Source organism: Homo sapiens, chromosome 10 (assembly GCF_000001405.40).
Source record: "Homo sapiens chromosome 10, GRCh38.p14 Primary Assembly".
NCBI lineage: Eukaryota > Metazoa > Chordata > Mammalia > Primates > Hominidae > Homo > Homo sapiens.
In genome coordinates, this window is record NC_000010.11 from 104269096 (window position 1) to 104296182 (window position 27087).

Here is a 27087-nt window from a genome sequence, read left to right on the forward strand (position 1 = left end):
AGCTTTGAGGATTGGCTGATGCTCTGGGCGCCGGGGCTAGTTGGCGGGTAGGATCACGTGCGAGGGGCAGGCCCCGTCTAGGCCCCGCCTCCTTGCTGCTGCTGCCGCCGCCAATCCTGGTCCGGTTGCCCGAGTTCCCGGAGGTCTCTCGCGGGACCTCTCTCACCGCCACCGGTGGGTCCGTTCGGCCTGCGTTGTATTGGAAGGGAAGAGGGGTTTGAGGTCAATTCTGTTTCCTGGGGTTTTCACGAATTTCGGGGCCCACAGTAGGCTTGCCAACTTTAACTTTTGCCTAACACTTTACGAGAAATCCTATTTAGCCTTGGCCACTGTTGCATCAAAGAATTTCACATCCAACAAAGTGCAGCCTAAGAATAAAGAACAGGTCTTTAAACCGCATACCTTTAATTAAGGTGTTCTTATTTTTTCTGATTTGGCTGGAAACAGGCAGAGACCACCCCAGATAACCAGTTCTCAGCCTTGCGTGGGACACCACGAGTCCCACGTGTTTACGTGTTTAAGGCACTGGCAAGCAGGGGAATTTGGTTTCTGGGAATGTGCTGTCTTTGTGAAAACTGTGAAAAGTCTTCCCTGCTACATTGAAATAATCATAAAATAATAATAGCTAATGTTGAACACTTACTATGTATCAGACACATGCTAAGCATTCAATATTTCTCATCCAGTTTCTGAATGAAACCTTCGCAAACCACATAATGTACTGGTACTATTAGCTACGAATTACATATAAGAACACCCGAAAGTTGTTGTCATTTGCCCAAGGTCACCCAGCTAATAAATATTGAAGAGATTCGAATCTAGCCTGAACTCTTACAGTAAGACCGTTCGTGAGATGAATTTATATGTGCTATTTTTCCAGTCTCTTTATCCAACAGCTCTGACAGAGGATAGTATCTACCTTTTTTTTTTTTTTTTGAGACGGAGTCTCGCTGTTCTGCCCAGGCCGGACTGCAGTGGCGCGATCTCGGCTCACTGCAAGCTCCGCCTCCCGGGTTCACGCCATTCTCCTGCCTCAGCCTCCCAAGTAGCTGGGACTACAGGCGCCCGCCACCGCGCCCGGCTAATTTTTTGTATTTTTAGTAGAGACGGGGTTTCACCGTGTTAGCCAGGATGGTCTCGATCTCTTGACCTCGTGATCCGCCCGCCTCAGCCTCCCAAATCGCTGGGATTACAGGCGTGAGCCACCGCGCCCGGCCTGTATCTGCCTTTTTGACCACACCATTATTCGTGGGATTTAACAGGAGTTAATGAGTTAATAATGTTCCTTTTCCAAACTCAGTGGTTTTGATTTTACAAATTATTTGACTTTTCCTGATTTCAGGATCTTGACAATTTGCCTTTACTTATTCAAATGTTATTATACCAAATATTTATTTAAAAAGTTTTTTTTTTCTTTGATTCCTCAAGTTGTAGAGAGAAATAGGGATAGGGAAGCAGAATCAAGTAGTTAAAAAGATAGCCTCATTTGACCCTGATTTCCCAATTGGGAATATGAAATTTTTCCTGAATATAAGCACATTTGAGAATAGAACCTTTTACCTAACGTATCTCACTTTTTGAACTCATTGGACAATAAGGGAACACCCAGTAATATAATCTTTCATATAAATTAGGCTTCTAACTTATTAAGAGGAATGTACTCCAGTCCAGTTTCTGCTACTATCAAGAGATGGCGTGACAAAAAATTTTGAAAAGTTGCCGAATGCAAACCACAGTTCCTCTTCTCAAAACAAATGCATGTAAATAGAGTGTAAGCTATTTCTTTGGTGGCATTATTTTCCTAGAAGGCTTAAGTCGTTAATCACCCATGACCGAAGATCCAAACATTTTCAAAGCAGATCCGATCATATTTCAGGTGGCTGAAAATGGATTTGGAGTAGGTTTAATATGGTCTACTTACAATTTGTTTCATGATTGAGTGGGTCAGTATAATAAAGGTATAAACATGAAATAACATAGAAGGAAAGTTTGCAAAGAGGATTTCAAAGAAGTACCTGTTGGGTATTCAAAAGAAAGTAGGGATAAGCTTAAGGTTAAAATCTTTCTAGGGAAAGTATAGTGTTCAGAGGTAAGATTAAAAACCACATTACTGAAATGGAGTCTGCAGCATTCAGCCCATTCAATTGGCATTAAACTGGTAACTGGTGAAATAAGTATTGTGAGTTGAACTTTAATTCTAATATGCTTGGCAAAGCCGAATCACAGTGTGCTTCATCTTTGTGGATACAAAATTGGAATGCACTCTGCTATTTAAAATGTGTTCTTACTCACTAGCGTTTGTCATTAACTTTGACGTATACTGAGCTCTTACTATACTGACGATGCCCTGGACTATTTGATTCGATACTCACAATTCATAAAGTAGGTATTATTGGTGTTCTCATTTTGCAGGTGAGGAAAGTGAAATCCAAAAAGGTTAGATAGCTTGCCTAAGTGCCAAAGCTGGGTCTCAAAAAGTCAGCCCATTGGGCTCCAGGGCCTGTTCTGAGAACCTTGACACTAGATTGTTTCCCTTTAGAGGAGAACAGCTTCCATCCCTGTCTTCTAACTCTACCAAATTAACTTGGCATTTCAGAACTTGATTTCCCACATACAGATACACTTTTCATGAACATTTCCCAACTCTCAGAGTTAGTTTCTTTTAAAAGGTGGGAATGAAAAAACAAAACTTGGAAAATCATCCTCTTCTGGCAAAGTAGAAAGGTGGATCCAGGAACCTTTTAATTTACAAATGGAATTCCCAGTTTGGCCATTATCCAGAGACCATGGATGGGCAAATTAAGGCCATTGGGCTAAATCCAACCAATTGTTGGTTTTTTTATAGCTCAATATCTAAGAATGATTTTTTACATTTTTAAAGGGTTGAAAAAGAAAAACCAGTCACAACGTGATATGTGAAAATTATATGAAATTCACCAAGAGTGAGCCCTAATATATTAACTATGGATGTTGGGTGATAATATGTCAATGTGGGTTCATTGATTGTAATAAATGTACCTCTCTGATTGGAATATTGATAGTGGAAGAGACTGTGCATGTGCGGGGGCACAGGGTATATGGGAAATGTGTATTTTCTGCTCAATTTTGCTGTGAATCTAAAACTTTTTTTTAAAAAAAGGCTATTAAAATACATATATGCAGTTCAAATTCAGTGTGTCCATAAATACAGCCACACCCATTTGTTTATTTATCATCGATGGCTGTTTTTACACTACAAGTGTAGAACTAAATAGTGGAGACCAGATGGCCTGAAAAGCCTGAAATATTTAATATATGTAAAAACATTTGCCAATCATTCAGTTCATGGCATCTGATAAAGACTAAGATACTGGTTGAGATTGTTGCCGCTGGAGTCAAACTTCCAGGGTTCCTAGTCCTCCCTCTTTCACTTACTAGTTGAGAAGTGCTTAACTATGCTAGTCTCAGTTTACTCATCTTTTAAAGTGAATCAAAATAGAACAGTTATGGGACTTTTTTTTTTTTTTTTTTTTTTTTTTTTTTTTTTTTTTTTTTTTGAGACGGAGTCTCGCTCTGTCGCCCAGGCTGGAGTGCAGTGGCGCAGTCTCGGCTCACAGCAAGCTCCGCCTCCCGGGTTCACGCCGTTCTCCTGCCTCAGCCTCCTGAGTAGCTGGGACTACAGGCGCCTGCCACCGCGCCCGGCTAATTTTTGTGTTTTTAGTAGAGACGGGGTTTCACCACGTTAGCCAGGATGGCCTCAATCTCCTGACCTCGTGATCCGCCCGCCTCGGCCTCCCAAAGTGCTGGGATTACAGGCATGAGCCACCGCACCCGGCCCAGTTATTGGACTATTTTAAGAATTAACTGGGTCAATACACATGAAGCACCAAATATATATTAGTAATAATTTATTTTGATTTTGAGATTTTGCAACCCTCTTATGGCCTTTTTTAGGCTATGGATATATTTTTCTCAACTATCTTGAAATCTGCTTTTTTTATATGAGGGATGCATGTGTATGCCCAGAAGTCATCTTACCTACCAGGAGCTCTAAGATGACATGGTTGTGTTTCTTGCTTCTATTTTACCATCCAATTTGTCCTTCTTGATCAGAATTAGCTCCAAAGTAGTAGAAGTTACTCTGTTACTTTCTCTGTCTTCTTAAATGAAAAGTTGTCAGCGTAGCAAGCCGGGAACCAATATGTCTTCTCCAACACCAGATTTCTTGCTGACATATATGCATTTTATTTTCAGAGAACATTTATTCAAACATTTTTGCCATTCCCTGATTCTTATAAAATGTTAATACTTTCCATATTATTATCTAAGCTTATTTCACATGAAATCATTGAATGACAGCAAAAAATGTAGTTGAGTCACTATTCTGAAGATTTGCAAAGATTCTTATTCACTAGCAAAAAATGTTAACACTATTATTAACCAAGAAGTTCTGGATAGACTGGAATTCCAAAGGCCAAACAGTACCCAGTTATAAGCTACATAATTAGGCTCTGTCATTTTAATAAAAGATATTTAGATTCAAGTATTATTTGTTGAGCAGCCATTACGTGCTATATCTTTTCCTGGACTTAAAATCCTTTCCTCCTAACACTATTACCAGTTTTAAAGGTCAAGACAACGAGTCAAGCTTTGGACTTTTAAAGTTCTTCAACCCTACTAGCTGGTCACTTTGGGCAAATAATTTCATTTTTCTGAAGCTGTTTTCTGTTTTGAAAAGTAGAAATAATATGAGTTGCCTGACTGAGCAATTGTAGGAATCAAGGTAATCTATGGAAATAATTTAGTCAGTATGAGTGAGACACAGAAAATATTTTTCTTTCCTTCATGATCTGTTAATCCTACAAAATGCATTTACAAGCAATTCCCACATCAGCTCAATTCTGGAAAATTTAAGGAATTATTTTTTTACCTGCTGAAATTCAGGATCTCAGCTTATCAGCATCAGAGCCAAAGCCACGTCTATTATCTCACGTAAACAGAAAAGCTGTGCAAGTCGCCCCTATATGGCTGGGCTGTTGGCAATGTATCCTTGGCAACTAGTAAGAGTGTTCTCAAAAATTTATGCTGGGGAACGGGGGAAGCTCACAAATTGTTCTTTGCCTCCAGGTATCTTAATTTTATTCATTGCCAGTTTTTCAGAGCTTGGGTAAAATCTCACAAGTAGGGCCAGGACTGGGATGAGGCAACTGAGGTGTCTAGGGTGCAAAATGTGAGTTGTCTAGACACCAAAGTTGTCTAGGTGTCTAGGAGGCACTCACTCTCTGGGGTATGTGAGATTTCAACACCAATGACTTTTTCTTTCCTAGTTGCTGTATCATGAGAATGTTTGGCCTTATTATTTTTTAAAGCTGTACTTACTTACCAAAGAGTGGCCAGTTTAGTGATGCAAGAGATTCAGAATGGGAAAAAAAAAGTCAGCTTTACCCTAGTCAGTTTTGATTAAACTCCTTTGAAATCCATGTTGGAGTTTAAATGCCCATTCTTGAGGGATTCTTGATGTAGAGGAGGCCCCTCCAAAGCTTTAAGCACATGTCCAGAGCAAGGGGGAGCTTTTCTGGTGTTATTTTGTCTTGTTTTGTTTTTTGCCAGCTCCTACTCTCGGGCTTCCAAATCTGGGGCGATGTCTCCCCAGGTTAAATTACCCTAGCTCCTGCTCCAGATCGCTTCCCCGTGCCCCGCCAGAGCCCAGTAGTTCAAAAATTAAATTTGGGGCAAGGGGTGCGCGCCAGAGCGCAGCTGTTTCTGGAGCCTGCGGCAGCGGTGGCGAGCCACAGGGCGGCGACCGTGAGCTCCGGGAGCTGCGCAAACCACCTGGAGACCATGTCTGGGGATGCGACCAGGACCCTGGGGAAAGGTGAGTGCTCTCCATGGGGTCCGCGAGCTGGGGGCGCCGCGTGACAGAAAATGTTGGCTTCGGCGGAGCTGCCTGGCCTTGGCCTGCAGACCGGCGGGGCAGGAAGGGACTTGGAGGGCTCTCCTGAAGAAAAGCCACATGCAGCACTGCCCTCTCTGGGACTTGGGAGTTGGAGCTCCCACAGCCATCTTGGGATCTGGGCAAGTGAGCGAGCTCCTTCCTCACCGGGCTGACTAGCCTCTCCTTTCCCTGTCCCCCTCCATCGCTGCTCTGCAGGAAGCCAGCCCCCAGGGCCAGTCCCGGAGGGGCTGATCCGCATCTACAGCATGAGGTTCTGCCCCTATTCTCACAGGACCCGCCTCGTCCTCAAGGCCAAAGACATCAGGTGAGAAGCGGGAACCCAGAGCCCCCGAGCAAACCCAGCGCCTCACAGGAGCCCGGGAATGTTTAACATCTGGGGCGCCCTGCTCAGCTTTTACAAGGGGCTCCCTGTCCCTTTTTTCGGAGGCAAAGTCAACAAATAGCAAAGGGCGAGCTTTTTTTTAGCGGGCCCTACTGAAATGCGGAGCCCTTTTCCGAGTCACGCCTATGCATGAAACTTCTAGCCCAGCGCAGAGTAATGTGAATGATGGGGCTGGTGAACTGGTTCCCTCCCAGAATGTTTAAGGGCACAGCCAACACTACTGAGGCCTTACCTGACTGCTCCACAGAGGTAGTTCCCCCACCACACCCCAGGCATCTTAGGTCACTGTTTCCTTTCTTTATTGAACTTACTGCATCCAGCATTTTCTTATTTGTTCATCCATCTCCCCTCCCCAGTCCCCTTCACCCATGTGCGTTCTCGAGGGTAGGAACTCTGTCTCTTTTATTCATGAGCTAGGAGAGAGCCTGTCACATAGTGGATGCTCAAAAAACATCTGTTAAATGAATGAACAAATCTTTCCAAACAATGAAATAGAAGGAATTGCTATCAAGAGGTGTCTGGAAGTTTTCAAGACACCTTGAAAACTTGAGAAATGGGTACAGATGCTTCCAAAAGGAAGTTTGCAAAACCAGCTCCTGCAGGTCTGGATTTGGAGGGCAGAGCAGCTTTGCTGGGATGTGGACTGCATAATGCAGCTGGCCTCCAAGCTAGAGTGTTGAGAATATGTCACTCCAGGCTCCCGACTCTTGTCTCGGAGAGTCCATCACAAGGGGGTGACTTCAGAGTTTCAGACTCATGTCAGAGAGATACAAAGACTAATACAGAGATGTTTTAAATAAAATTATGTAAATCTGCCTTGTTGAGTATATAGGGCCTGTATTTCCACATTCTTCCCTTTTGCTCAAATTAAGCTGACCTTAAGGTTACCTGTTTTTTGAGGAAAATAACAACAACTGGATGTTTTGCCCATTTGGTGATAAATTATCAGCTTAGGAGCTGATGTATTTCCTTAGGTCAGCGTTTCTCAAACTTGGCACTGTTGACAGTTTAGGCCAGATAATTCTTTGTTGGAGAGGTGGGATAGAAGCTGTCCTGTCCATCACTGGATGTTTAGCAGTATCCTTGGTCTCTACCCATTCAATGACAGTAGAGTCCCCCTTCCCTATGCACTACCTTCAGTTGTGACAACAAAACCATGTCTCCAGACATAGTGATATGTCCCTTGGGAAGGAGGCCAAAAATCACTTCTAGTCGAGACCCATTGCTTTAGGTTGAGACCCACTGCTTTAGGTCTTGCTATGTGGCCTATGCTGGTCTCGAAATCTTGGGCTCAAGCAATCCTCCCACCCTGGCCTCTCAAAGTGCTGAGATTACAGGTGTGAGCCACCTCATCCAGCCTCTGCTGTAGGTTTAAGACAATCTCCTAGACTAAGCAATGAACGTTCCCATTTGTTTCCTTTCATGTTTTTAAACATACGTTCATGCTTCTGGTAACTATATAGTTATCTAAATAATAATTGTATTATGTGAACATTAAATAATAATAGTATTATTTGAACATCTAATAATTAGAAGAAGAATTAAAAAAGTTATTGCATGCTTATGTGCCAGGCACTGTCCTAAACACTTTATACATATCCCCACCACAGTACCAAGAGATGGGTGTAATTATTAGCCCCATTTTATAATTAAGGACACTGAGCACAGAGAGGTTAGGAATTCGGTTAAGGTCCCAAGCTAGACCGTTTATTCTGATGCCAAAACTCATACTCTTAATTGTTAACATTTACCATATTCTGTTGTGACCTGTTAATACCAGATTTGTATTTTCAAGCTGTAGAATGTACTAAACTCTCTAATGCCATGGTTAAGTGTGTGAGCTCTGAGTCTGTCTGCCTGGCTGTGATCTTGGCTCTACTACTTTTTTTTTTTTTTAGATGGAGTTTCTTGCCCAGGCTGGAGTACAGTGGTGTAATCTCAGCTCACTGCAACCTCCACCTCCCGGGTTCAAGCAATTCTCCTGCCTCAGTCTCCCAAGTAGCTGGGGTTACAGGCGCCCGCCACCATGCCTGGCTACTTTTTTGTATTTTTTAGTAGAGATGGGGTTTTGCCATGTTGGCCAGGCAGGTCTTGAATTCCTGACCTCAGATGATCTGCCCGCCCCAGCCTCCCAAAGTGCTGGGATTACAGGTGTGAGGCACCGCGCCCGGCCAGCTCTACTACTTCTTAGTGGGTGGTATTGGGTGTGAGATTCAACCCCCTTGAGTCTTCTTTCCTATGAGGTGAGCCTACTTCAGGGGGAATTATGAGGAACAACTGAGATAAGGCATGGAAAACATCCGACACATCTTACTGCAGGAAGGAAGATGATGATGTTATGTATTTTATACAAAACTTAAACCTTAAAACACTAATTGCAAATTTTAACTTTTAAACTGATTGCTTCTGCTTTCAAGAAGAGTGCCTGCCTGCAGATGCCTCTCATTTTTGTTCTGTCTTGTTTTCCTTTTGCTTTTTAAGACATGAAGTGGTCAACATTAACCTGAGAAACAAGCCTGAATGGTACTATACAAAGCACCCTTTTGGCCACATTCCTGTCCTGGAGACCAGCCAATGTCAACTGATCTATGAATCTGTTATTGCTTGTGAGTACCTGGATGATGCTTATCCAGGAAGGAAGCTGTTTCCATATGACCCTTATGAACGAGCTCGCCAAAAGATGTTATTGGAGCTATTTTGTAAGGTATATTCAATTTAAAAAGTCACTCACACTGTATTTTACTTTGCATGTCTTTCCCAAACCTCAACCCATTTTAAAGCCAAATCATTGGTGAAACTGTTTTGTTTTGATACCATGTGATCCTCAGGAGATTAGCTAGCATGGAATTAGGGTAGAGCATGGCCACTGATATTAAAGGCTTAACTGCTAGGCGCTTCTCCATTTCAACTGGCAGGCTCAGGAGGTATGGTTATGACATGGCAATGACCGTGTAACTTGAAGCAGGAATACTGAAAGAACTGAAAACTGGTGATCCTTAAAGGGAGTATTTCTCCAGCTTCAGGTAAAAAGTAATGGAGTGCGAAGATTATGCATAGAAGGTGATGCTTTTTTATTATTTTTTTTTTGAGACGGAGTCTCGCTCTGTCACCCAGGCTGGAGTGCAGTGGCACCATCTCGGCTCACTGCAACCTCTGCCACCTGGGTTTAAGCAATTTTCCTGCCTCAGCCTCCTGAGTAGCTGGGATTACAGGCGCATGCCACCACACCCCCTAATTGTTGTATTTTTAGTAGAGATGGGGTTTCACCATATTGGCCAGGCTGGTCTTGAACTCCTGACCTCAAGTGATCTGCCTGCCTCGGCCTCCCAAAGTGCTAGGATTACAGACGTGAGCCACTGTGCCTGGCCAGTGATGCTCTTTAGAAGCATAAGAGTGCCTGCTGTCCAGGAAATGTGAAGAATAGATAAATGGTGGCAGCTTTGATAATGAAAGAAAAAAGAATGGAGAAATTTTAAGATGGTGTCTTTGAAAAGGAATTTTTAAAAACCTCAATGATATTAACAGCTGACATATATCGAACACTTATGATGTGCCAGGCACTGTCCTAGTTACTTTGTAGGAGCTAACTCATTTAATCCAACTGCCCTTTGAAGTGGGTACTGCTATCGTATCCATTTTTCAGATGAGAACACTGAGGCTTAGAGAGGTTGAGTGTCCCACCTAAGAATGTATAGCATGGAAGCAGCTGATCAAGTAAGGAGCACTGGAGAAACCCTCCTAAAGCACCCTGCTTTCCCAGGGTACTATAAGAAGTAGATTCCTACTGAGAACCGGAACCACAGAGAAAACCTAGTGCCTCTCACAGGGAGCTGGGGGGTCTGATGTGGGTGTTGCCCTGTTAGGCTGGAGTTATAAAGCTTCGCTGCCTTTTCAGGCAGAACAGGAACTGGAAGTTTCCACAGACTTCTCCACTGAGAACCTGTGTCCTCTGATTAGGTCCCACATTTGACCAAGGAGTGCCTGGTAGCGTTGAGATGTGGGAGAGAATGCACTAATCTGAAGGCAGCCCTGCGTCAGGAATTCAGCAACCTGGAAGAGGTACAAAAAGGGGTCCCTCTCCTGGTCAGCTACAGTGGAGGAAGCTAGGCAGGGTCGCTAACCTGGTCACTCTAACACCAGCTTTCACAGGCTTATTCTTTCTGCCTTTGATAAGTCAGACTTCTGATCATCTGATTGCATGTTTGCCCTCCTCTAACCTGGTCTAGAATTATTCTGGAAAATCTGATGAGGAGTTGGGGAGGACATGCCATGAATTGCTTCCTTTCCCAGAGTCACCCCATCTCCCTGAGTAGCTCTGCATGGCTTCTGTAGCTTCTGCCAATGAGGTCAAGGTCTGTAAAGGTTAGGGGTTGTGTTTGGCTGCTGAAGTCTAACTACTGTAAATTCATGTTGTAAGGGTTTACTCTCTCACATAACATTCTTTCTCACGTATTATAAGGGTTTATTCTCACACATACGGTGGCTCACACCTGTGATCCCAGCACTTGGGGAGGCTGAAGCAGGAGGATCACTTGAGCCTAGAAGTTTAAGACCAGCCTAGGCAACATAGCAAGACCCCTCCTCTACAAAAATAATTTTAAAAATTAGCCAGGCATAACGATGTATACCTGTAGTCCCAGCTACTTAGGAGGCTGAGGCAGGAGGATTGCTTGAGTCTGGGAGGTCAAAGCTGCAGTGAGCCATGATTGCACCACTGCACTCTAGCCTGGGTGACAGAGTAAGTAGGACTGACAAAAAAAAAAAAAAAAAAAAAAAAAAGCCAGAGGTAGGCAGTTCAGGCCTATCTTGATGGCTTCTTCATGACATTATCAGGAACTGAAGCTTTTTCTCTTTATGGGCTCTGTCATCCTTAGCACAACTTAGTACAAGGGTATCATCCTCAAAATAACAAGATAGCTGCTGTCACTGCAGCCATCACATCCAAGTTCCAGGCTCTGAAAAGGAGAATATAAAGAAAAAAATGGCAAATGGTCATACCCCTTTAAAGGGCTTTAAATCCTACCAGAAATTCTACTCAATGGCTATTTACATTTCGTTGGCCAGAACTTAGTTGTGGGGTCATAACTATCTTAGAGAAAGCTGGGAAATACAGTCTTTTAGCTGGGATACCCTGAATAAAATCAGAGGTCTGTAATTAAGGAAGAAGGGGGAAATGGGTGCGGTGGCAGGAATACTCTTTGCCAGTAGATGCTTCATTAACCTGGCAGTAATGGAGCTACTTATCCTGTACTTCTAGAATAATCAGGAAGGCAGTTCTTTTACTTCCTTTATTTTTGCTCCAGAAACTGACAAATTCACCTTATGGGTGGGTGGTTCCTCTATTGGCAGCCAGAGAATACAATTTTTTTCCCCTTAAGGGAAGACTGGTTATTAATACTCTTCCATTTGACCTTTATCAAGTGGAAACAGATTAAATGTATTGATATTTCCAGTTGCCTATCTCAAATTTGTACGATTAAGTATTTATGGATGACGAATGGTCATGTGTAGGAAATGTCAACCTTTTGTCCTGAGGTCACCAACTGTGGCCTTGACTCCAAGGAGGCCATATGATGTGGTGGAAAGAATCTTGGATCTTAGGCTTGGCTTTACTGAATTCCAGAACCTTGGGCAATGTTCTGTACCTCTCTGGGCCTTGGTTTTCCCATGTGTAAAATGAGGGATTATTTTGAAATGTGTGTTCCTCAGAGCCTCTGGGTTCTGCAGGGGACTGCCCAGTGAGTGGAGGCCTGGTAGATTGTTCTAGACACTGCTTTACTTAGGTCAGCACTGCCTTCAACCACCATGTTCAACCTGACATCTAAGAAGATGGCATTTGGGGAGAGAGGAGAGCTGCTGCTTTAAAAAAGAAGTTCGAAAATCTTGTGAATAGAGAATTTATAGTCTATTTTAAAGATCAGCTGAATGGACCCCATCATGCCTGGTTACCTTCTCACAGATAAACAAATACTGGACCAGGGAAAGGAGCTGGGAAAAAAAAAACTCTTTGAATTCAACGATACAGTAATTGAAACATTTTCATCAGTTTCCCTTCTACCTCCATTTGGATGATGGATGAACTTTTTAAATTACAGATTGCTAGATGAAAGTATAGGGTTATGATGGAGATACAGTTCTTCTTCAGTCGGGGGTCTTTTCCAGGGCAAATGAACCAGTATTTTGTGCCATGAATCGTGCTGCAGATACTTGCATACATCATCTCATTCAATCTTTCCAACAACCTTCTCAGGTACAAATGGTACTAGTCCTGTTTTGCAAATTGGAGTGGCCTCTCTGTAAAGGCTCAGAACTAGGTACTAGGAATAAAAAGAAATTAAAGACCCTCGAGGGGCTCAAAGCCTGGACAGGGAGATAGGCTGTTAAGCCCATTTAAAACCTGGGTGTGTTGAGTGCTAGGCTGGAGACATGCATACAAGAAGGCTGGTCTGTGGGGGTAGATAATGCCTCTGTTGACTCTTAGGATGAATTAGAGGCACAAGGGTGAGAGCCTGGTGTGTTCGGCAAACAATAATCAGTGAGGGGTTGACAGCGAGGGAGTGATTGGTAAGAGGTGAATGTGGAGGGTGGACCAGAGTCAGATGCTAAAAGGCCTTTTCCACTGTGCCCAGGGATTTGCACTTTATTTCAGAGTTGATGGTGAGTAATTGAAGCCTGTCAAGCAGGAGAGTGGTGTACTCCTTCATGCTTTTAAAAGTATTCAGTCCATCACTTGAACCCAGGAGGGGGAGGTTGCTGTGAGCCAAGACTGCGCCACTGCACTCCAGCCTGGGCAACAGAGTGAGACTCTGTTTCAAAAAAAAAAAAAAAAAAGAAAAGAAAAGAAAAAGTATTCAGCCCAGCTGAGCACAGTGGCTCATGTCTGTAATCCCAGCACTTTGAGAAGCCAAGACGGTAGGATCGCTTGAGCCCAGAAGTTTGAGAACACCCTGGTCAACATGGCAAACCTCCATCTCTTTAAAAAATACAAAATGTTAGCTTGGCATGGTGGCTTATGCCTGTAGTCCTAGGTACTTGGGAGGCTGAGATGAGAGGATCACTGGAGCCTAGGAGGTTGAAGCTGCAGTGAGCTATAATTGCACCACTGCACTCCAGCCTGGACAACACAGTGAAACCCTATCTCAAAAAAAAAAAAAAAGAAGAAGAAGAAGTTCAGCCCAGCAAGAATGTAGAGGATGGATTAGAGTGTCCAAGAGGAGGGACTGGGAAGGGACAAAGAGGACCCCACTAACGAGGGTTGGAGAGGGAGGTTTAATTAGAGAGATTTTGAGGAACTAAGATGAGATGAAATCTGAGGAAGGAGTAGGAGTTATGGAGGATGGTTTCCAAGTTTGTGGCCGGTAAATGTGATGCTTTTCACTAAGAGTTTGAGGGAAGACACATTTTGTCAAATTTGTGGTGTTGATGGGATATTCATATGCGGGCAGAGCTTAGAAGAACAATGTATGGTCTCTACTGGACCTTTGGAATGGTTTTATGGGCTAGGAGCTTTCACCAGAGAGTTTAGGAATGTCATTAGTGGGGTGGTGATAAATGTTTAAGAATCAATTTTCTCTTAAAAGAGAAAGAAAAAGAAAAAGCACGGATTTATAGCATTTGCTGATTTGGGTGGTGTAAACACTTCCGTCAAGGTTAATTTTGAGCTACCAATGTGCTATTTCTAAACTCAAGAGCTGGCAAAAGATGTGGGCAGCTCCAGCATGTCACTGAATAAGAAATTTCACTTTATCTTCAATAACTGAGCCCCAGGAACACTGTTGTTAACCAGCCTCTATATAGGTAGCTTTCACTAACCAGCCTCGGTGTAGGTAGCTTTCACTGATGCTATTTAAGGACCACTGAGTACTCCACATTGTCCTAACAGGTTTGAATGTGGTTTTGTCCCATAGAATGTTAGCAAGAATTGTAGCTATGGCTGGGCGTGGTGGCTCACACTTGTAATCCAGGCACTTTGGGAGGCCAAGGAGGGAGGATCACCTGAGGCCAGGAGTTCAAGACCAGCCTGGGCAACACAGTGAGACTATGTTTCTACTAAAAATTAAAACATGAACTGGTCATGGCAGTGCGGGTCTGTAGTCCCACCTTCTCTGGAGGCTGAGGCGGGAGCATCTTTTGAACCCAGGAGTTTGAGCTTGCAATGAGCTATGATCGTGCCACTGTACTCCAGCCTGGGTGACACAGCAAGACTCTGTCTCAAAAACAAATAAACAAAGAATTATAACTACAATGTAGGAAATATTGAAATCTGAAAACATGACCAATGTACTTGAATTATGCGATCTGTTCCTTTAAATGCCAAAATATTTATTCCAGGAGATTCTAGTGAAATTGAAATTTATCAGAATAATTCTAATGGAGAGGATCCCCTGATTTATGTAACTCTTTCACATGGTTTTGCACAATCAGGATTTTTTGTGAGCTAAAAATATATTAAATACTCATTGTCTTTCTGAGTGATAAGCAAGCCAAGATTTCATGCATAATCTTCTGCTATGTTATCCTGAAACAGAAGGCTCAGTTAACCTTTTGTGGCCTTAAACTCTGACACTTTCTTCTTTTGAAATAACTGCCTTGTCTAACTTTTTAAGTTTTTTTTTTTTTTTGGCTTGTTTTTTTGTTTGCTTGTTAGTTTTTTAAATCTAGTTTCAGGTGGGTTCAGTGGCTCATGCCTGCAATCCCAGCACTTTGGGAGGCCGAGGCGGGCAGATCATTTTAATCCAGGAGTCCGAGACAAGACTGTACAACATGGCAAAACCTTATCTCTACAAAAAATACAAAAATTAGTTGGATGTGGTGATGCATACCCGTGGTCCCTGCTACTTGGGAGGCTGAGGTGGGAGGATCACTTGAGTCCAGGAGGTCAAGGCTGCAGTGAGCTATGATCATGCCACTGTACTCCAGCCTGGGTGACAGAGTGAGACTTTGTCTCCAAGAAAAAAAAAATTAAGTTCCATCAAAATCAAAGATTTATTGTGCTTGTTATATAACCACATTTTTCTCTAATATCTTTTACAATTCTTTGAGATATATTACTGCCACTTTTATTATCAAACTAGCAGCCTGCTCACTGGCTTTCCTGTTCTGAACATTGGCATGAGTTTTAAAACTATGACACTTGTCTTGTCTTGCTGCACTTTATGTCTTCAAGCAGATTTTCTAGCCCTTACTGAATCATTACTCTAAGCAGCACACATTTTTTAGTTTTATTCTTTTTCAGGTATTGACTTTCCCATTTCAGAATGGGACTTGAGCCAGGCTTCATTTGATCTTTGTGGATTTGAATGTGGCAGGACCTCTTGGTGTCACTTTTTATCTGTGCCTTCCAAAAATATTTTCATTATGGAAGTAGTCAAATCAAGTCCAAGTGCAGTGAAAGGTGGATTTGGTCAGATTTCCTTGAGGCTTTGGAGTTTTGCTTTAAATCTAGAAAGTGTTCGTGGCTTCTGAATTGGTTCTGCACTCTGACTATTGCTTGGTCCTTTCTTCGTCATCATCAGAGCTCCATAAAAGAGAGCGGGGAGGGGATAACATAAATAATGCTGAAATAGCCCTGAGGGATGAGACATGGCCCAGCAACTGAAGCCTTCGTCTGCCCGTGGCCACAGGGCACTTTATGGTTTTGCTTCTTGTCATTCAACCACCTGCCTTGGGGTGCTTCACTTTGCATTTCCACGCAGAGTTTCCCGCATTGCCAAACTTGATCATGTGCCTTATGTGTAGCAGTTTGCATGAGGTGGAATTTGCATAAATTATGTGTGCATCACCCAGGAGCATCTGTAGTTAAATACTTTATTGATTCTAAATTTTGCCCATAATCTTAATTTTTTAATTATTTTATTTTCTTTTCCTCTTTTAGAGATTGGGGTCTCTCTCTATTGCCCAGGTTGGAGTGCAGTGGCACAGTCATGGCTCACTGTCGTCTTGAGCTCCTGGGCTCAAGCAGTACTTCCACCTCAGCCTCCCGAGTAGCTGGGATTACAGGCTGAAGCCACCGAGCCTGCCTCCGTTATCTTAATTATTATTATAATTATTTTTTTGAGTCAGGGTCGCACTCTGTCACCCACATTGGAGTGCAGTGACACAATCACGGCTCACTGCAGCCTCAGCCTCCTGGGCTCAAGTGATTCTCTCACCTCAACCTCCTGAGTAGCTGGGACCACAGGTTCAGGCCACCATGCCCAACTGTTTTGTTTTTGTTTTTATTTGTTTTAATTTTTTGTGGAGACGAGGTCTCACTATGTTGCTCAGGCTGGTCTTGAACTCCTAGGCTCAAGTGATTCTCCCACTTCAGCCTCCCAAAGTGCTATGATTACAGGCATGAGCCACTGCACCTGGTAATCTTAATTTTTAAACTGTTCTTTCTTCTCATCAAAAAAGACATTTATTCAAGTTAGATTATATTGTCTTGGTTTAGTTTTGCTTTTGCTCTTTCTTAATTTTTATTAATTTCCAGTGATGAAATTATTTATATATTGTTTAATTGTTTCTCCTTTGATATCACCAGGATAGGAAGAAAAGAAAGTTTATACCTGGTTAATTCGTCACTGAAAACAATTTTCTGTATCCTTTTATATATAGTAGACTACAAGCTAAATTTTTTATCATCTAAGTTAACATGTCTATAAACTAAATTCATTATTACTAGCTATTTTTAATAAGTTATTGAGATATAATTCATATGCCACAAAATTCACCCTTTTCCAGTGTACAATTCACTGGCTTTTAGTATATTAAGTGAGTTGTGCAACTATCACCAGTATTTAATTTCAGAGCGTTTTTTTTATCATCCCCCAGAAAAACTGCTCACTTGTAAGCTGTCATTTTCCATTTCTTCTCAATCCCTGTGGCTGTACGCAGCCACTGATCTGCTTTCTGTCTCTATGGATTGACTTATTCTAGACACTTCATATAAGTGGAATCATACAACATGTAGCATTTCATGAGCTATTTTCACATACCATAATGTTCTTAAGGTTCATCCTTCATTCTTTTTTATGGCTAAATAATATTCCATGTGTGAATACGCACATTTTGTTTATCCACATCTGGGAAGGTTCCACTCTTGGAACTAATATGGATAATGTTGCTGTGAACACCATGCAGGTTTTTGCATGAATATACGTTGTTATTTCTCTTGGATTTGCTAGCTGATTTAGCATGTTTACTAACATGCCATTTTAGTTGTAACCACCATTCTTTCACACTTGGGAACTGATTATCCCTGACTCAGGATGCCTCGTTAAGTGTATTAGTGCTGTTGCTAGTTGGGTTACTTCCTTCATCATCCAATTCTGACAGCTGCTAATATTTGCTGTACTTCTTTCAATAGCTTTCTGATATACCCTTTCCCATCACATAAATAATAGAATAATAATTATTCTTATTATTTAAAAATTAATTTTACTCTTCTCCAATTATAAAGTAATACTTGTTCATTAGAGAGAATTTGGAAAATACAGGAAAACATAGAAACTAAGGAAAAAAAATTATAATCCCACTACCCAGAAACAACCACTGTTATTATCTTGGGGACTTTTTTGTTTTTGTTTTCTGTCCTTTTCTGCTATGTATATTTTATGTAGTTGAAACTTGGTTACTATTATGATGTAAATATTCCCCACACCCCCTGCCATTTTATTTTGAGACAGGGTTTTACTCTGTTGCCCAGGCTGGAATGCAGGGTGCAATCACGCCTCACTGCAACCTTGAACTCCTGAGCTCAAGGGAGCCTCCCAACTCAGTCTCCTGAGTAGCTGGGACTACAGGCATGTGCCACCATGCCTAGCTAGTTTTCTTTTTAACTTTTGTAGAGACAGGGTCTCCCTCTGTTGCCCAGGCTGGTGTCGAACTCCTGGGCTCAAGTGACCCACTTGTCTTTGCCTTCCAAAATGTTGGCATTACAGGTGTGAGCCACCACACCTGGCCAATTTTTATAAACTCTGTAAATGCTTATTTACATATATAAGAGTGTTCCTTAGAGCAGCAGCATTATTTGTGATGATGACAAATTAGGAAACAATATTCATTAGATGGTGAGTGGTTAAGTAAATCATGTCTGTCTTGTGGAATTCTGTGGAACGGCTGAAAATGAATGAGGTAAATCTATGTGTACTGACATTAAAAGATTGCCTAGAAATATTAAATGAATCACACAGTAATACAGGTGGTATGATCCCATTTTAGCAGAAGAAAACAAAACTGAACCATGCAGGTGTGCACATACATGTAAATAAGTGGCTAGAAAAGTATCTAGAGAGAAACACATCCACCTCCTAGTAATGTCTCACACTGGGAAGGGGGCTGATTAGAATTAGGGTGGGTAAGAAAAGTGGTTAAGGGCAGGGACCGGGAGGGAAGATTTTGTCTTTTACATTATTTTCTGTGTTTGATTTTTTTTTTAATGATGGGAATGTATTTCTGTATTAAATATGTAAGTTTTAAAAGTAGAAAAAAACACTTTTTTTTTTTTTTTTTTGGGACGGAGTCTCGCTCTGTCGCCCAGGCTGGAGTGTAGTGGTGCTATCTCGGCTCACTGCGAGCTCCACCTCCCAGGTTCATGCCATTCTCCTGCCTCAGCCTCCCAAGTAGCTGGGACTACAGGCACCCGCCACCACGCCCGGCTAATTTCTTTTTGTATTTTTAGTAGAGATGGGGTTTCACTGTGTTAGCCAGGATGGTCTCCATCTCCTGACCTTGTGATCCATCTGCCTCGGCCTCCCAAAGTGCTGGGATTACAGGCGTGAGCCACCTCACCCGGCCGAAAACACTTTTAATGTCTGCATACTTTGCCATGTTTATAAACCATAAAGTTATTTATCCAGCACACTAATTAGGAGTGTTTAGATGGTTTTCAGTCCTTTACTGTTTTGAATGGTGCTGCAGGGAACATCAGCTTCTTTGCATAAAAAGCATTTTCTCTATTTTAGAATATGTTCTTAAGCTGGACTCTCAGGAATGGAATTACCAGATCAAAGGGTATAATGAGCACATTGGAGGCTTGGACTGTATTTCACTAAATTGCTTCCCAAAAGACTTGTGTTGTTTGCCCCTCACCAGCAGTATGTGAAAATGCTCTTTGCCCTATATCCTTTTCACTGGTGGGAGACTTCATTCAAAAAGATATTTGTTTGTTGAATAATATTTGCTGTGGAGATACACTGTAGTTCCTCATTGTTGACTTAATGCATATTTCTTTGATGGCCAGGGAAGTGGAAGGTTTTCCCGGAAGTATGTCATCCCTTGCTCCTGGTCTTGCAAAATTTGTCTGTTCAGTTCAGGGGCTTTGCCTATCTGGCCATCAGAGTCTTACTAATTTTCTTTGTTGATTTGTAAAAGTTCCTTTTAAAGCGTTCCTTGTATAGAAAAGATATTTGACTGGTTTTAAAACACATTTTTGTTTTCTTTTGACTTTTAATTTGGCTTATATATTTTTGCATATGGAAGTACAGCATTTGAAAGTATTGTGCTATAAGGCTTTCCTTATATGTGCTATGATTTCCTCCACTGTTTTATGTGTAGGAAGTCCTCTCCCCACTTCAGAGACTTGATAAATATTCATTTATATTTTCATCTACCACCAATCACTTTACAGACATTTGACTGGTCAAGCATTACCCTCCTAGCTTTTCCCCCCACACTATCTTACAAATATATTGTGATTTGTTTTAGTTTTTGTTTTTTGTTTTTGAGACAGGGTCTCACTCTGTCACTCAGGCTGGAGTGCAGTGGCATGATCATGGCTCACTGCAGCCTCGACCTCTCAGGCTCAGGTGATCTTCCTACCTTAGCCTCCTGAGTGTCTAGGACTACAGGCACCACTATGCCTGGCTAATTTTGTGTATTTTTTGTAGAGATGGGATTTTGCCATGTTGCCCAGACTGGTCTCGAACTTCTGGGCTGAAGCGATCCTTCCACCTTGGTCTCCCAAAGTACTAGGATAAAAGGTGTGAGCCACCACACCCAGCCCTACAAATATATTTTGAAGATACGAATTAAGCTCATTAAAAGGATGCCAGCATAGAATTTTCAGAGTGGTCCTTTAATCCCCAAATTTTGACAGTTGTATTCTGCACCTTCATGGAGAATCTAGGTCATAACTGATGGGCAGCAGGAGGGGCATGTTCTGCTGCAGGTCCTCCCTCTAAGGCTCCTTCCCAGAGGAGAAAATGGTCTTAAATATGCCCTAGGTTTGTTCCACACCCTAGGTTTGTTTTACAGGGAACTGGGTCATCACATGGTTAGCTCAGCCTCAGCTATATCATTTTAGCAGGGATCTGAGATTTGAAATCTTAAGAACCTCCATTTATCTTTTATGAGCTCAAAACATTTCTGCCCTCCAAAAGACTTGAATAGACATTTCTCAAAAGAAGACACACAAATGGCAAACAGACATATGAAAAGGTGCTCAGCATCATTGATCATCAGAGAAAGGCAAATCAAAACTACAATGAGATATCATCTCACCCCAGTTAAAATGGCTTACATCCAAAAGACAGGCAATAACGAATACTGGTGAGGATGTGGAGAAAAGGGAACCCTCGTTCACTGGGGCGGGAATGTTAATTAGTATAACCATTGTGGAGAACAGTTTGGAGGTTCCTCAAAACACTAAAAATTGAGCTACCATATGATCCAGCAATCCCACTGCTGGGTACACACCCAAAAGAAAGGAAATCAGTATATCAAAGAGATACCTGGACCCTTATGTTTGTTGCAGCACTGTTTACAATAGCTAAGATTTGAAAGCAACCTAAGTGTGCACGAATAAGGAATGGATAAAGAAAATGTGATACAGGCCGGGTGTGGTGGCTCACTCCTGTAATCCCAGTACTTTGGGAGGCCAAGGCTAGCGGATCACTTAAGGTCAGGAGTTCGAGACCAGCCTGGCCAACATGGTGAAACCCTGTCTCTACTGAAAATACAAAAATTAGCTGGCATGGTAGTGCATGCCTGGAATCCCAGCTACTCAGGAGGCTGAGGCAGGAGAATTGCTTGAATCTGGGAGGCAGAGGTTGCAGTGAGCTGAGATCACACCACTGCACTCCAACTTGGGTGACAGAGTCACACTCTGTCTCAAAAAAAAAAAAGAAAAAAGAAAATATAGTACATATACACAATGGAGTACTATTTGGCCATGAAAAGAATGAGATCCTGTCATTTGCAGCAACATGGATGGAACTGGAGATCATGTTAAGTGAAACAAGCCAGGCACAGAAAGACAAACATCACATGTTCTCACTTATTTGTGGAATCTAAAAATCAAAACAATTGAACTCATGAACACAGAGAGTAGAAGGATAGTTTGCAGAGGCTAGGAAGGGTAGTGTGAGCTGGCAGGGAGGTGGGGATGGTTAATGGGTACAAAAAACAGAAAGAATGAATAAGACCTACTATCTGATAGCACCACATGGTGACTATAGTAAATAATAACTTAATTGCACATTTAAAAATAACTTAAACAGTGTAATTGGGTTGTTTGTAATTGAAAGGATAAATGCTTGGGGGAGTGGATACCCCATTCTCCATGATGTGCTTATTGCATACTGCATGCCTGGACCAAAATATGTACCCCATAAATATATACACCTACTATGTGCCCACGAAAAATAAAATTAATAAAAGATTTCTGCCCTGGAGTTGAGTACTTTTCCACTGCTTCTGGAAAAGGGCCAGTATTGCTGATGTACTGGCATGTTGCTTTGTGTCTTTTTAGGGGCCACAGAGGGTGGAGGATGGCTTCTGCTTTTTTGGGGGGCAGAGAGTAGGGGATGACCTCTGCATTTTCAGAACGATTTTCATGAGGAAAAACTTTCTTCCTCCTCCAGCAAGTACAGCAGCCCCCACTGGGAGCCACCACACTGTTTCGAGATTGGGGGCTTGGGATTTCTTGGCAATGGTGTAGAGGATGGTGAAGGTGAGCTGGCCTCTTCAAGGTTTGAAGCTCAATTATTGAGGCTGAACCAAAGAGTTGAAGACTGGAGCTCTCTCGAATGCCTGGTTTGGAGATGTCTGGGATTCGCTTCTCCTAATGATCTTGCTTCTCTCGCGAAAACTGCAGATTTCTTCATCCTCCGGTTGAACGTTCTTGGGGAGCCGCGGCCGACGCGCCTCGCACTGATGGCCACCAGGGGGAGCCCCGCGCGCTTCCTCCTTCCCCTTGTGTTCCAGGGCGCACTTCAAAACGCTGACGTTCTCCTTCGTCCCTCTGGGGGCGCCCGAGGGGCCCTCGCAGAAGATGAGGTGCCTTTCCAGCCAGGCTTCTCGCGTGCAGGGCTTGGGAACAGTGCATCCCCATCCTACCAAGCAGTCCCTTCCTCTTCATTTGCATCGCGTCCGTAGTCTTATTTTTCAGTGAACTGGAGAACAGAAAATTTTAAAATAGATTTTTCTAATATTCCAGAAGGTCAAACACCTTTCTGCAAAGTATCTAGCATACTAAAGGGGAAGTAATTTTACATGTCTGGAAGGTACCATGTTTGCATTAGAAAGGAGCTCTTCTATTGTACTAAAGTCTCCAACAAACCTCTTGAACTCTTAAGCCTGAATTGAAAATGTGTCAATGTTTTCAGAAAATCTGAGGCCTAGAAGCTAGAGCCTCAGTTCCCTCCCCTGCCATTTGTAGAAGCCTTATAGGGGATATCTGGGGTTTTTGAAGAAAAACACTTTCTAAGTAGGCTATTTTGCTTTGCTTGTTCATACAAAAGACAGGGGTTCTGAAAGTGAGGGATGCCATTGTGAGGGAAGCTATTCAACATTAAGAATGGCCAATATCTTTTTTTTTTTTTTTTGTCTTTTGAGAGGGGGTCTTGCTGTGTTTGTTGCCCAGGCTGGAGGGCAGTGATGTGATCATAGCTCACTACAGCCTCGAACTCCTGGGCACCACTACACCCAGCTAACTTTTTTTATTTTTTGTAGACACGGTCTCACTATGTGCTCTAGGCTGGTCTCGAACTCCTGGCCTCAAGAGATCCTTCCACTTTGACCTTCCAAAGCACTGGGATTACAGGCGTAAGGCACAGTGTCTGACCACCAATATCTTTTTTTTTTTTTTGAGACAGGATCTCACTCTGTCACCTAGGCTGGAGTGCAGTGGCGTGATCACTGCTCACTTCAGCCTCTACCTCCCAGGCTCAGGTGGTCCTCCCACCTCAGCCTCCCAAGTAGCTGGGACTGCAGGCACAGACCACAATGCCCAGTTAGTTTTTTTGTAGAGACAGGGTTTTGCTATGTTGCCCACGCTAGTCTCGAACTCCTGGGCTCAAGCAGTCTGTCCACCTCAGCCTCCCAAAGTGCTGGGATTACAGGCATGAGCCACCATGCCTGGCTGTATCTTTATATGTGATATATAATCAGGTGGAAGAACTCAACATAGAATTCTTTAAAAGGATGGATTGGATATTAACATAACTACTGCTAAGTGGATCTAGATCTAACACCCATTTTTCATTCCATTTCTGATGATAAAACACTTAAGAAAGACAAGACATTGGATGTTAAGTCTGTCAGTTTATTTTGCCTCTGCCTCTATCCTAAAATTTTTTCAGAGGGGTAAATGCAAGGGACTTGTTTTAAATTGAGTACAAGAAAGAACTATTTTAGTAAAGTTGCCTGAAGATCTGCTCATCAGTGGAATAAAACAGGAAGGACAGAATTCTGATAAGCTCTTTCATAATGACTATGTTGGAATGTCTCATCCCTCTGTCAGTTGCTTTGGCTTGAGCTTCTGATTCAGAGAGCATGAAAAGGTGAGACTAAGGAGGAAATTCTTTTCACAGAGAAGCTCAGAGCCGAACCAATCCTTGGCTGTAGAGAAGGAGGAGCTTTCAGAGTTTGCTGGTTCCAAGCTTTTTTCTGTTACTTAAATTTAAAGCTGGAACAGAAGGTCAAGAAACAGGAAGGAAAACCGTATCAAGATATCAAGTCATGGTATTCTTTTTCATTCTTACAGAAAAGAATTCACAAGAGACTTGAGGAAGCTTTTTTATTTTTATTTTGTTCTGTTTATTTATTTATTTTAAGATGGGGTCTCACCCTGTTGCCCAGGTTGGTCTCAAACTTCTGGGCTCAAGTGATCTGCCCACTTCGGCCTCCCAAATTGCTGTGATTACAGGCATGAGCCACTGCGCCTGGCCAATTTTTTTTTTTTTTTTTTTTTTGCGACAAGGTCTTTCTCTAGAGTGCAGTGGCATGTTCACAGCTTAGTGCAGCCTTGACCTCCCAGCCTCAAGTGATCCTTCCACCTCAGCCTCCTTAGTAGCTAGGACTACAGGCATCACTAGGACTACAGGTGCCACCACCACGTCCAGCTAATTTTCGTATTGTTTGTAGAGACGGGGTTTCACCGTGTTTCTCAGGCTGGTCTCAAACTCCTTGGCTCAAGCAATTTAAGGAAGCTTTTCATTAGAGTCTAAAAATACATATTTGAATTGAATGACACAGGGTTGACACTAGTCAGAGAATTAGGAAAATGTGATATGCGTGTTAGTTCCAGTGCAAACCGGAGAGCCCGTTAACCTCCCTGGGACTGGGTTTCCTCCTCTGCACAGCAAGGCTCCCCTGTCCTTCCCCATGGGAGACAAGAATCACATCACCAGCATGTTTTCCTCTCCCCTTTGGCTGCCAGGAAACTCAAGAGTCAAATTCAAGGCTTTATTGAAGGAACTCTGCAGGACCCAGGACGTGATATCTTGATACTGTTTTCCTTCCTGGTTTTTGACCTTCTGTTCCAACTTGCGTTTTCCCTGATTATAGCATTTTATTATTTTTCATATTTAGTATGTAGTGCACATTTTTACACTACACTTCTAATCCTTTGTGTAATGATCATGGTAGAAATAAATGGTGAAATGAGGAGGTCCCACTTAGATGAGTTTCAGGGGTCCTTCCAGTCCCAATTTTCCAGGATTCTTAAGGGGAAAAAGTAATTTTACATGTCTGGAAGGTTCCAGGTTTGCACAGAAGGGAACTCTCCTATCGAGAGTCCTGAGGACTTCAGCAGACCTCCAGGGAGGCCTGTCCAGGATGTTCTCCTACGTCTGTAAAGGAGTGAGCACTTTGTGCTAGTTTAGGGAAAGACAGCTTTTCTGTTGGGATTTTAGACTTACCCTGCTTGAAATTGGTGGAAAAATACCTGTCTGGGATGGGGCTCAATAATCTGCAGCTGTATTAGGAAATGCAAGTAGTTTTGATGTGGGTGGTTTCAAGACATATTTGGAAAATGTGAGGGAAATGTGTATGTGCATTTGCTGAGCGGGGGACTGGTGAAGGATCACCGATCCATTTATTCCTAATGCTCATCTCAGCTTTTTATTGTGCCGAGTACCTTGATAAGGCTTGGGTTATTTTATGAGCGTTTATATATAAATTGATAGTGTCCATCAGATCATGTATATTTAGAGGCATGCTCCTACTTTGAGTAAATGGAAAGCTTTAGAGATATACACTAAATAAACATCAGTTACTAATTAAAAATTCCCTCCTCACTTTACCAAAGGACCCACCATGGGTTCCATTAAATGTCTATTTATGGTTTGTTTTGACAAAGACTTTTCCAAGAACACCTCTGTTCTGTAAAGCAGAAGAGCTGTGTAGATGTTCCAGAGTCGCTTGGTGTAAATTTGGTTCTGATTTGTGCCGTGAAGCCCAATAACAAACTGGAGGCACACATTTCAAAGCCAGTGGTAAGAGTTTGAGTAGTGATCATCTATTCCTGAACATAAAGTCTGGAGCCTTCTGGAATCCATAAAAATGGAATGATTTGTTCCTTTCCCCTCTAACCAAATTTTATTCATACCTGGCTATAAATAGCTTCTGTTTTGAGTTTTCACTGGTCAGACCCTGCTGTTTTAGTGCCATCCTGTTAGCTTCCTTGAACAAGGTAATGCCACCTAACATGTTTTTTCAGACTTCCAGGACAATGATCAGGGGGACTTCTCTATGCCACACTGGGAGGTGTGAAGGTGTAGGCTTTAGGGCAACCCCTCTGAGAAGGGGTGGCAGGTGGAGGAGCCCATTGATCCTTTCTATCAGGGATGGATTTGCTTTCTGTGGGTGTCACCTTCAGGGGCCTGTGTTCCCACTCATCACAGGAGCTCATATTTACTCAGTGGGGCCAGAGTGTTCTTCATACATGGTGATTTTACTCCTCACCATAACCTCCGTGGTGCGTGCTAACATGACCACCATTTTGCAGATGAGAACATGGAGGCTTGCAGGGGAGGTAAGTTGCCCCAGGTTCCATGCTGAATCAGAGGTCAAGCTCAGCACACAGCACAGGACCAAGTCTGCTGGTTCCCAAGCTCACATCCTTACCTACAACTCTGAATCACCCCACAGCAGAGTCAACAAGCTGGCCTGGCATGTGAAGAAGCAAGCCTGGGTGTCTCCTGGCTGCCAGTGCCATCCCTGCCCCGGGACCCTAATCCACAGTTTGATTCTGGTCCTTTTGCCCTCTGTCCCTCACCAGAACCCTGATATTTCCAGATGAAAACACGAGTATAGCTTATTTCCACAACTCACCTGGGCCCAGCAATCAAGATCTATAGCTATAGGGAAGTATTGAGTTGATTATGAGTTATATAGGTCAAAATGAGTAGCTTGCTTGATTGAAGCAGGTAATTCGTGCCATACTTTTCTCTTTGGGAAGACCTGTACCAACAATAACCTCTGCTAAACACTTTCGCTTTTTTAAATTTGCAGGTACTTTTTTGGGGCTGTCTTTGGCTGCCTGTCTGTTGAGAGTTTGTTTTCTTTA

General features: G+C 42.6%; 1 protein-coding gene across 8 annotated transcripts in view; it reads left to right on the forward strand.

The window, feature by feature from the left end:
* Positions 89-27087, forward strand: part of GSTO2 (glutathione S-transferase omega 2) — a 35767-nt gene continuing 8768 nt past the window's right edge. Inside the window, exons 1-6 of one of the 8 annotated variants that reach the window (XM_011539272.4) lie at positions 5801-5854; positions 6131-6239; positions 8799-9021; positions 10275-10376; positions 16840-16895; positions 19288-21970. In XM_011539272.4, the coding sequence (XP_011537574.1) occupies positions 5821-5854; positions 6131-6239; positions 8799-9021; positions 10275-10376; positions 16840-16872 (501 nt within the window). In that variant the 5' untranslated portion in view covers positions 5801-5820 and the 3' untranslated portion in view covers positions 16873-16895; positions 19288-21970. Of the gene's footprint in view, positions 175-5589; positions 5855-6070; positions 6240-8798; positions 9022-10274; positions 10377-16839; positions 16896-19287; positions 21971-27087 lie in introns of those variants that run through there. The other 7 variants (NM_183239.2, XM_017015671.2, NM_001191013.2 and 4 more) reach the window with 7 other exon arrangements.